The 12,153-nt window shown below is 48.2% G+C and overlaps 1 annotated feature.

Moving 5' to 3' along the window:
• Nucleotides 9,177-9,676: an enhancer, noted in NCBI's record as "H3K4me1 hESC enhancer chr5:1745447-1745946 (GRCh37/hg19 assembly coordinates)". NCBI's record gives its function as "activates a minimal SCP1, AML or CMV promoter by ChIP-STARR-seq in naive H9 embryonic stem cells {active_cell/tissue: H9 hESC(naive)}" and the evidence as "EXISTENCE:reporter gene assay evidence [ECO:0000049][PMID:30033119]".

Here is a 12,153-nt window from a genome sequence, read left to right on the forward strand (position 1 = left end):
TGGGAACATATAGCTGACATCTTAAAACCACTTTTAAGAAGGTCAGGGTCCTGATAGACAACTCTGGAGCTGGTGGGTATGAAGGAGGGGTGAGCAGCCCTGCAGCCACCCGGCTTCCCCCAGTCTCCTTGTCATGAGCTGCGGTCAATGCACAGTTGGTCCCTGGGGCAGGAAAGCAATTGTAGGTCCTGGTCCTGGTGGTGCCCATGCTGACTCTGTGACCCGACCAGGCCCCTCCCTGGGCTTCTGAGTCTCACACAAAAAGAGAGAAGTCAAATCAGATGCCTTGCACATCCTATGCATCTGCGTAAATTAATTTTCATTTGAGCTGCTATTCAGTGAGACGGAGAGGAACTTCTGGGAACTAAACTAGAATCTGATTTCACAGTTATTTTCTTTTACATGTGGATAAAGGAGGTTCTGGCTGCCTTAGTGACTTTTATGACAGTTCCCATTCTCGGGATGATGGTCCTCATTCTGCACCTTGCTGTTCTGTTCTATGTAACATCCAGGCTGGGAGGGGAGGGGGCCGGCCCTCCTCCTCTGTCCCAGGCTCTGCAGTGGGCAACTTGGTTCCGTCCTTACCTCCTCAGCTGGGCATGTGATCTTGGTGCTCTGAGCCTTGTTCTCTGTGCTAAGTATATGGGGTTCATTGGAAAAACTGACATCGAAATGGCCTTTCCTTTCTTTTTTAGAAACAAGATTTTCCCACTCTGTATCTGAAGATCTGTCCTTTCCTCTTTTTATTTCTTGTAGTCATTTGCATCTCTGCAACAAAGTGCATCCCTTGGACTTTCTAGGGTTCCAACAAAGTGTCTGCACAGAGGAAGCCGGTGGGGGAGAAGCGGGTGCCTCCCTCTGCTGTCCTCATTCTCCAGCAGCCCTTGCCTCCCAGATAAAGAGGCCACTCTGAACATGGGGAGCCTGGCCGTGGCAACCCCAGGGGTGACCCCATATCCACTGTGGGCCCAGCCAAGGCCCAAGAGCAAAGGCCCTGCTGGCCCTCAGCTCGGTGAGATCCTGGCAGAGGTGGCAGCTGTGTCTCTACCTGCTTCTCCAAATTCCTTGAAACAGGGAGACCAGGATGTGCAAAGCTGAGGACCCAAGATGATGGACCACTGGTCCCAGGGACCCCCTAGTGGGGATGATGAGCGTTAACCGGCCCAGTGCCTTGATGACCCCCCTTCCGCCCGGGAGGAGTCCCAGACAAGGAGCCCCTCAGCACTGAACAGAGACGGCCCAGTACAGCAGGCAGCAGACTCTGCAGCTCTGGAAAAGTCCTCCCGTGGGCGGCCCTGCCAGGCCCCTCAGGGAAGTGAGCATCCTCACAGTGCCTTGGTGCCCACTCCCTCCGTGCTGCTTCCTCCTTGCTGCTCCCTCCATGCTGCCCCAGCACCAGCCAGGCCTGGATACCCGCTGCAGTCTCCCCCTTCGGGACAATTTGGAGACCCCTGCATCCCATCCAGGATCATGTCCCGCTGTGCCTCCTCACCTGACCCTGGGAGGCTGGAGCTCCCTGTGTGCCCTCCCTGTGGTCAGCCTCAGGATCCTGTCCTCAGACAGCCCAGAGACCCCGAGCCAGCTGCACATGTCTACCCTACAAAGGCGCCTTCTTCCTGTCCCATACCTGGCTCTGCTCCATTTATGAACAACTTGTTTTTGAGATCAAATGTCTATTGTTTTCAGAAAATTTAGGGATTAATGTGCTACACAACTCTCTTTTTAAAATTAATAAACTTTATTTTTAGAGCAGTTTTAGGTTCACAGCAAAATTGAGCAGAAGGTACAGAGTTCCAGGGACCTCCTGCCCCCAGGCAGGCACAGGCTCCCCTCTACAGATTTCCCCACTAGAGGGCGTGTTACTACCAAACCATCATCATCACCCAGAGTCCACAGCCTGCATTTGGGCTCACTCTTGGCACTGTACAGTCTAGGGTTTGGATAAACGTGTCCACCATTGAAGTGTCCACATGTGTCCACCATGGAAGTGTCATGCAGAGTATTTTTGCTGCCCTAAAAAATCCTTCATGCTCTGCCTATCCATCCTTCCTTCCCACTCATGCCTGGAACCACTGATCTTTTTACCATCTCCACAGTTTTGTCCTTTTCAGAATGTCCTAGAGTTGGAATCACACAGTGTGTAGCTTATCAGATTGGTTTCTTTCACTTACTAATAAGCATTTAAGTTTCCTCCATGTCTTTTCACTGCTCATTTCTTTTTAGGGCTGAGTAATATTCCGCTGTCTGGATGTGCACTGTTTATTTATCCATTCACCTACTGAAAGATATCTCAGTTGCTTCCAAGCAAATATAGAATTATTAGGTAAGGAATGGAATTATGAATGAAAGCTTTATACCATAAACATTATGAATAAAGCTTGTATAATGAACAATGTTTCTATGAGCATCATGAATAAAGCTTCTATAAACATCCACATGCAGGTTTTGGTGTGGACATATGTTTTCAACCCCTTTGGGTAAATACCAAGGAGTATGGATCCTGGATTACAGGTTAAGCGTATGTTTAGTTTTTCAGAAACCACTAAACTGTCTTCCATAGTGGCTGTATCACTTTGTACGCCCACCAGCAATGGATGAAAGTTCCTGTTGCTCCACATCCTCGCCAGCATTTGATGTTTGCAGTGTTAAGGATTTTGGCTATTCTAATAGGTGTGTAGTAGTATGACCTTGTTTTAATTTGCATTTCCCTGAGGACATATGATGTGGAATAGCTCTTCAATGTTTACTGCCATCTGTATGTATTCTGTAGTGAAGTATCTGTTCAGATCTCTGCCAATTTTTAATTGGGTTGCTCATTTTCTTCTTGTTGCATTTTAAGGGTTATTTGTATATTTCAGATAACAGTCCTTATCAGGTATGCCTTTTGCAAATATTTTCTCCAGGTCATGGCTTCTCATTCTCTTGACATTGTCATTTATACAGCAGAAGTTTTTAATAAAGCCCAACTGGTCAATTACTTATTTTATGAATCATGTCCTTAGCATTTTATCTAAAAAAGCCATTGCTATACCCAAGGTCATCTAGGTTTTCTTATATGTTATCTTGTAGGAGTTTCATAGTTTTGCATTTTACATTTAGTTCTGTGATCCATTTTGAGTTAATTCCATTTTGAGATGATTTTTGTGAAGTGTGGAATGTCTGTGTCTAGATTTATTATTTTGTCTGTAGCTATTTGTTGAAAAGGCTATCCTTCCTCCATTGAATTGAATTGTCAAGGATCAGTTGACTAAATGTGTGTGGGTCTATTTCTGGGCTCTCTCTTCTGTTCCTTTGACCTATTTGTCTATTCTTTTGCCGTTACCACACTGTCTTGACTACTAGAGCTTTATAGTAAGGCTTGACCTCAGGTAGCACCAGTCCTAGGACTTTGCTGTTCTCCTTCAGCACTGACATGTCTATTCTGAGTCTTTCGTCTTGCCATACAAACTTTAAAAATCTGTCTGCATTTGCAAAATAACTCACTGGGATTTTGATTGAGATTACATTGAATCTACAGATCAATTTGGGAAGAATGACATCATGACTGTATTCATGGAGATGGAATATCTCTCCAATTATTTAATCTTTGATGTCTTTCATCAGAGTTTTGTAGTTTTCCTCATATGTATCTTGTAGATATTATTATACTTATACCTAAGTATTTCATTTGTGGGGGTGCTAATGTAAATGGTGATGTGTTTTTAATTTTGAATTCCACTGTTCATTGTTGGTATATAGGAAAGTGATTGCCTTTTTATATTAATCCTATATCTTGCAATCTTGCTATGATTTATTCCAGGAGGATTTTTAGTCTTTTTTTTTTTGGATTTTATACATAGATAGTCATGTCATCTGTGAACAAAGACATGATCATAGATGACATTATTTGTTTTACTTTTTCCTTCTCAATCAGTATACCTCTTATTTTCTTTTCTTGTCTTATTGCACTGGCTAGGACTTCCAGTATGATGCTGAAAAACAGTGGTGAGAAGTGGCATCACTGCGTTCTTCCTGCTTTTGGTGGGAAAGCTTCTGGTTTCTCACTATTAAGTGCGATGTTAGCTGTAGGTTTTTGTAGAAAATATTTGTTAAGCTAAGGAAGTTACCCTCTATTCCTAGTTTGCTGAGAGTTTTTATCATAAATGAATGAAATGAATCATGAAGTCCATTTTGTAATAACACTATAGCACTTTGCAGATAGTGCAAGTATCCTATATGACAAAATAACCCTAACTTTTCTTTTCCATCCCTTGTTATCATTGCTGTTACTCATTTCTTATACATAAGCATATATGTAAGCACTGTTAACTGAACGCATTGTTGCTATTATTTTGTTAAATCCAACAAAAACCCCAATATTTTCATCTATTAATGTAATCATCTGTTTTTTCTTTCTTAGTCTGTTGAGTGATGGATTTTATTAATTGAACTTTGAATGTTGAATCAGACTTGCATACCTGGGATAAAACCCACCTGGTTGTGGTGTATAATTTTTTTACACTTTATTGGATTTGATTTGCTAATATTTTGTTGAGTATTTTTGCATCTATATTTATGAGAGATATTGGTCTTTGTTTTTTTTTTCTTGTAATGTCTTTGTCTGGTTTTGCTATTAAGGTAATGTTGGTCTCATATAATGAGTTAGGAAGTGTTTGCTTTGCTTCCATCTTCTGGCAGATATTGTAGAGAATTGGCACAATTTTTCCTTAAATGTTTGATAGAATTCACCAGTGACCCCATCTGGGCCTGGTGCTTTCTGTTTTGGGAAGTTATTAACTATTGATTCAATCTCTTTACTATAGACCTGATAGTCTATTTCTTCTTTTGTGAGTTTTGGCAAATTGTGTCTTTCAATGAATTGGTCTATTTCCTTTAGGTTATCAAATATGTAGACATAGAGTTGTTCATAATGTTTATTTATTATCCTTTAAATAGCTATGGGATCTGTAGTGATGTTTCCTCTTTCCTTTCTGATATTAGTAAGTTGTGTCCTCTCTTTTTTCTTAATTATCCTGGCTAGATCTTATCAATTTTACTGATATTTTCAAAGAACCATCTTTGGATTTTCTTGATTTTCTTTTTTTATTTTCTGTTTTTAATGTTATTGTTTCTGCTCTAATTTTTATTGTTTTCTTTCTTCTGATTACTTTGGATTTAACTGCTTTTCCTTTTCTAGTTTCCTAAGGTGGAAGCTTAGATGATTGATTTTAGATATTTCTTTTTTTTTTTGGGGGGACAGAGTCTCATTCTGTCACCCAGGCTGGAGTGCAATGGCACGATCTCAGCTCATTGCAACTTCCTCCTCCTGGGTTCAAGTGATTCTCCTGCTTCAGCCTCCCAAGTAGCTGGAATTACAGGTGTGTGCCACCACACCCAGCTAATTTTTGTATTTTTAGTAGAGATAGGGTTTCATCATGTTGGCCAGGATGGTCTTGAACTCCTGACCTCAATTGATCCACCTGCCTCGGCCACCCAAATTGCTGGGATTATAGGGATGAGCCACTGTGCTCGGCTGATATTTCTTCTTTCCTAAAATATATTCAATGCTATAAATTTTCATCTAAGCACTGCTTTATTGCCATTATTTTGCTATTATATTGCCATTATTTTGAACACAGTGTTACCTGTTAGATCAACCAACAATATGAAAAATAGAAGTTTTATTTAACTTTCACTCATTTCTTCTTCGGTGTCCTTTCTTTCTTTATAAAGATTCAAGTTTCTGACCTCCGTAATTTTTCTTCTCTTTAAAGAATTTTTAATATTTCTTGCAAGCAGGTCTGTGGACAAGAAATTTCTCAATTTTGTCTGAGAAAGTCATTATTTTTTCTTCACTTTTAAAGGATAGTTTCACAGGGTATAGAATTCTAGGTTGGTGAGCTTCTTTTTTCTCAACACTTTAAATATTTTATTCTACTCTCTTCTTGCTTAGATGATTTCTGAGAATAAGTCAGATGTGATTCTTATCACAGCTCCTCTATAGGGAAGGGTTTTTTCCATGTTGTTTCTCTTAACATTTTTTCTTTTACTTTGATTTTCTGAAGTTTGAGTATGATATGAATAGGTGTCTCTTTTGTTTTTGGCATTTATACTGCTTGGTGCTCTCTGACCTCCACAGATTCCTGAAGATCTTTGGTTTGGTGTCTGATATTTGTTTGAGAAAAATTCTTCATCATTATTGCTTTAAGTATTGCCTCTGTTTCTTGATCTCTTTCTTTTCCTCCTGGTATTTCCATTAAGCATATATTATACCTTTTGTAGTTGTCCCACAGTTCTTAGTGTGTTTTTTTCTTTGCTATTCAGTTTTGAAAGTTTCTATTATCATATCCTCATGCTGAAAGATTCTTTCCTCCGTTGTGTCCAGTCTACTAATGAGTCCATCACAGGAATTCTTTATTTCTGTTGCAGTGGTTTTGATCTCTAGCATGTTTTTGCCAGAATTTCTACCTCTCTGCTTATGTTATTCATTTGCCCCTGAATGTTGTTGGCTGTCTACATTAAAGCCTTAGTATATTAATCACAGCTTTAAAAATTTCAGGAATCCCAACATTCCTGCCATATCTGACTGATTCTGATGCTGGTTCAGTCTCTTCAAACAGTGTTTTTTGCCTGTTAGTCTTGTAATTTTTTGTTGAAAGGTGGACAGGTTGTACAGGGTAAAAGGGAACTGCTGTAAATAGGACTTTAGTGAAGTGGCCATGCTGTAGGGGGAGTGTCTATGGTCCTATGACTCGGTCTCAGCCCCAGTGAGACTGGGGCCATGAGCTACACAAGTACCTCTCAGATTCTTCCTCCCTTAGGTGGAACAGGATGGCTAGAGTGGGCTGGAGTTGGGTGTTTCCAATCTCAGCTCTGATAAAACTGTAGCAGGTCTGGCTCTGGTTAAATAGTTTCTCCTGAAGCTTTGCTAAGAAGAGAATGCTCTGGTGTAACTCAGAACAGCCCCTTTACCTTTCCCCTGCCTAAAGCACAGGGGACATTTCTCTGATGTTCACTGTGGGCACTGCAGGGCTCCTGGAGGTAAAACTCACAAAGGTGTGCCCCCAATGCCCGGGTCCCCTGGAGTTGATAACTCTCAGACTTGTCCGCACTGAGCTTCCAGCAGCTCAAGAGGTTTCTGCTCATGTGTTTCTGCTCAGGTAAGTTGTGCTTCTCTGTATCCACCTGTCTCTCCAATTGTGAAGGCAGGGGCTTGCCATGTGACCTTACTTGTCTGATGAGTCTAAGAAGAGTTGTTGATTTTCAGTTTGTTCAGCATTTTACTTGTTTCATTAGGACTGATGGGAGACCTCTGAGTGCCTTACATGCCAGACTCCATAACTCTTTTTTACAGCTTCACTGTGTCTATGCCAAGCTGGAATCTTTTTCTACATCGTCAATGCTAGATACAGCAAAATGATGACCAATGGGTTGGATACTTCAGCAGGTGTTCACTAAGCACTCATTAGGGCTGGTCCTACACACTGCAGTGAGGGCACAGAGGTAAACAGCATCACCAAGGGGCCTGCATCAGGATGTTAACGACCTTGAGGTTGTTCACAGGACAAAGGACAAGTTGGGAGACGAGACAGAGGACCCAGTGCCACCAACAGGGGCACTCTCAGTCTTCAGCCCCAGCCAGAAGACAGTTCCCGGGTGCCCAGGAGTTCCCCAAACGTCCCTGGCAAACCAGTGGAGTGTGACAGAAACAAGATTAAAATAAAATGGTTCAGGCCGCTGGCCCTGGCCTCCTGCCTGGAACTGGAGCTCTGCTGAAGGGATCCATGGGGGCCGAGGCTGCTGTCTTCACAGAAGCTGATGGTCAGGATTTCCCTACAGTGCCGAGGGCTAAGTGGTGTCCCCCATACACACTGTGTTGGAGCAGTAGCCCCCAGCTCCTCAGAACACAACCTTATTTGGAGACAGAGCTCATACAGTAGTAGCATGGCCCCAATCCAATATGACGGCGTCCTCATAAAAAGGGGATATTTGGACACAGATAAACACACAGAGACCCCTGTGATGGAGAGTGATATTGCCGGGAGCCGAGGAACAATGGATGGCCAGCAGCCTCCAGTCACTGAGAGGCTGGAGCCGGGCCTCCCTCGGCCTTCAGAAGGAACCAACCATGCTGACACCTTGATCTTGGCCTCCAGCCTCCAGAACCATGCAAAAACAAACTTCCATTGCCTAAGTCCCCATCCCCAGGAAACAAATGCAGTTAGAGTTGTGAAGAGCAGAAACTACTGAATATACGAGGCTTTTTCTGATCTACTCTCTCTGATAGTCAGATGTGGAGTTTGAGAGTTCATTATTGAAATTCTAGTAAACAAGCTGACTCCACGTTGATTCTGGAAGCCGCTGACAGTGGAGGCAGTATTCTCTGTAAACTCCCAGTGTGGTTTTGTGGCCTGGGCCTCGGGGCTCGCTCTGCCAGCTGATGACCCGCTGTCCTCCATGCTCCATGTGGCGTCTTGCTGACCGTCTGCTGTTGGTAGAGCCTGAGGAGGTCAAAGTCCCAGGAATGGTTCGTCAGCATTTGCTAACTCTAGAAATGCAATCCCCAAGTCACTGACCCCTGGCATTAATTCTGGGTGCTGGGGGGTGGCCATGGGCAGCTCGGCCAGTGTCACTGCCTACAAATGGTCCTGGGGCCCTGGGAATGGGTGCGTGACAGGTGGGAAAATGCGTTTCCTCCAAAAGGCAGAGCCCGCATAAGTAGGGGCTGCTCCCAGCGTTCATCTGCCGACCTCGCAGCTGACCCATTGTCCTTGGCACCGGTTCAGGAAGAAGCTCAGCTCAGGACGATGGCCACGAGAGCCACTTTTTGGCTCTTCTCTTCCTTTCCCTCTTGAGGAAAGCCTCACCTGGGAAGCAACAGCTGGAGGGAGTGAATGGTCTTGTTACGCTTGGAGAAAGAACAGGTTTCGTCACGGCCTTCCCACTCTGACCAACAGCACCTTGGGATGTGGGGGGCACTGACATGAGGAACCCCCCAAGCAGGTCTCCCTTTCCCCAGCAAGAAGCCCCTGCTGGCCCAGGTGGCTGGGAGAGCTGCAGACAGCACCCAAACCACTCACTGGGGTGCCACCCGCACTCTGCACCCTGCACCCCACACCCTGTAGAGCAACCCCATGTGCCAGCGAGCGGCCTCAGAGCAGCCTGCCCAGGCCCGGGGCTCGTGGCTTGCCTGTTTCCCGGGTGGGGGAGGGCAGAAAGGAGAGTGTGAGGGAGCGGCTGGCTGAGAGATTAGGATCTCAGCTCCTCTACAAGATGCATGAGCCTCGCCGCTCCTGTGCGGGCCCCATTCCTCTTCTGATCCATTAGCGGGGTCTCCATCACGGCTGTATCTCCCTCGGAGGTCGGGTAGCATCCATCCTGGCTGGCCGCACCCGCATTTCCGTGTCGCATGATCCATCCGGTGCCTCTGCAGACAGCAGGCACTAGGACAGATGGGCTGGAGCTGGCATATCGTGCGGATAAACTGTTTATCACTCCATTGACGCCGCTCCATCTCCCCGCAGCTGACCCCACGCTCACTAATGCCTAGATAGTGGGCAGGAGAACGGCCGTCCCTGGGGGTCATGGTGCGCGTCTCCTCGTTCTTTGGTGCTGAGGAAGGAGGTGGCAGAGGCCTTGGAGCAACAGAGCCAGGGTTGTGGGAGAGGAAGGTGGCTGAGTGTGGTGAGGGCCCTGCCAGGTGCTTTGGGAGTCCTGTGGGACTGCAGAATGAGCACGTTCGCTCCATCGTTTGACGACAAAGGCACCCGGTGTCCCTGAGCCGAGCACGCCCCGTCCACTTGGTGGGGGCATTAGCCTGTCGGAAAGCTGCCTGGTCCAGGGGGGCTTTCAGCCCGCAGGACGCCGAGAGCTGTCTGTAAACCTCTCCATGGTTGTGTGGGCCTCGGGCCGAGGCAGCCTGCAGTGAAGGAAGATGTTTTGGAGAAGTTGTTGGGGGGCTGAATCCCTAAACGCAGGGGACACTTCACGCCCGTGGAATTTGGAAAACCGAGGCAGGGAGCAGGGAAGGGTGTGGGACTCGGGAAGGGGAGCAGCTGGTGCTCCTTTAACTCGCCCGGTGGCAGTTCAGGGTGTTTCCATCTGAGATCCTACACTCAGCCGGGGGCCCACGGTGTAGCGGGTCGTCAGCCGGGCCCCGGGCCTTCTGGGCAGCAAGGGCCCTGGCAGGACCCTGAGGGCTGGGCCAAGGAGGGCAGTTCGCTCCGGGGCACCTGTCAGGGGCCCCACACGGCTGCTTTTAGGCCAGGGGTGGCAAAGACGCTGCTGCCGCCTGCTCTGGGCTCGGCTCCCATGGCTGTGAAGGACCCTCGTCACTCCCCGTCGCCTGCCTGGGCTGCCCGGGGACCCTCCTGCTGCGTCAGCACAGAGCCTGGAACCGCGGCCAAGGCAGGAAGCTCCCCTGTGAAGGCACCAAGCACGGCAGACGCCCTCACATCGCCGGGGCCCGTTTCCCTGTGGACGGGAAGTGGGAACGTGACGTGGACGTGACGTGGGAACGTAACGTGACGTGACGTGACGTGACGTGGCATGGCGCGAGGACAGCGCGGCGGGAGCGGCGCCTCAGATCCAGCAGGGAGGGAGACGAAAGGCGGATGGAAGAGGGGCCCCCGGACCCCGCCCCTCGAGGCTTGTGTGCCGCCCTGGCTGCGGCGTTCTGGGCGACGGGAAACAGAGTCAGGACACAGACCAGGGAGGGCCGGGGCAGAGCCAGGGCACCTGCGGGCGAGGACGGCTGGGTGCTGGGTCCCCGGCGTCAGGGCGCAATGCCGCCTGCTGGGCGTCACCCTTTCCCAGGGCTGCTGGGACACGTGGCCGCAGCTGCTTGGCTCACCACAGCGGAAGTCGGTCTCTCTCATCCTGGAGTCCGCGCGGCTGAGGGCGAGGTGTCCTTCCGGGGGCCCTGAGGGGCTCTGTCCCCGGCCTCTCCCCTCGGCGCCCCTGCCCGGCCAAGCATTGCGCCAAGCCCACCCCCACCTCACGTGGCGGCCTCCTCCCCGGCTTGGGGACTTCTCTCTGTCACTTGCAAAAACACGCGTCCTTGGATTTAGGGCCCTCCCTGTTCCCGGAGGCTCTCATTTCAAAGTCCTGACCTTAAGGACAGCTGTAGGACCCAATTTCCAAGCAAGGTGGCATTCCCAGGCAGGAGGGGTTAGGACCTGGGTGTGTTTTTGGGGGGACTCCATTCCGCCCCTGACAGGGCCTCAGGGTGGCCACTGCTTCTAAAGTTGGATGTGGGGCTTGTAGACTTGCCACGGCCATCCTGGTATTTTTGAGTATTTGAAATGACAGATTTACCACCTAGGAAAGTGAAGCAGGTGCGAGCGAGTACCGAGGCTGTTCGTTCAGGCCCCCACCCCTCGCTGCAGCCCCCACCTTGACCCAGCCTCGCCTGTCAGTCCTTCCCATCCACCTGTTCTGGGGCCACTGGCACCATGTCCTCTTCCTCCCTAACCATGCCGAGGGGTCATCGCCTCTGGTTGTCAGCCTCCTTCCCATGGATGTATGTTCTTCCCACCACTGGTCAGCCCCTCCTGGTGTCTACCGGAATCTCAGCTCAAGTGACTGATCCGGAGGGACCCCCCCCGCCCCCTGCCCCGCTACAACCTTGCCCTTGCCTTGTGTGTGAAGAAGTAGAGTTGCTAAGGGCTGGCAGCTGTGAACCCTTGTGGGGAGTGGGGACTTGAGGGCCTGGGCCTGGGGCACCTGGAGGAGCCCAATCGCCACCTGCAGCCACCCAGGGCCGCCAGGCACCAAGGGGCCCCAGGACCCCAGGCACTGTGTGTCCATCTCAAGAGTGACTCAGGCTCACAGGGGCCCCCACTGCTGCCCTCTTGCATCCCCACAGACACACCCGGAGTTCTCTCAACCTCTGCTTGCTCAAGTTCGGACTCCAGTTCGAGGACATCCAGCCACACATAACTTGGATGAGCAGCCCTCATTTTGTGTTCAATAAAAGATAACACAAGAGATCATTCGAGCAACTATGTCAGAGTAAATGTATTTCCTTGTTCAAGAGTGAAGCTCCTTCAGGAACATCTGCAATTTGCTTTGTCTTGCTGAAAACAATATTTTCCCAGAAGACCCCAGCATGAGGGCCATTACAAAACGTAATTCATATTGCATAAGTTCCGAAGCGTTCAGCACGAATAACAA

This window comes from Homo sapiens, chromosome 5 (genome assembly GCF_000001405.40).
Source record: "Homo sapiens chromosome 5, GRCh38.p14 Primary Assembly".
NCBI lineage: Eukaryota > Metazoa > Chordata > Mammalia > Primates > Hominidae > Homo > Homo sapiens.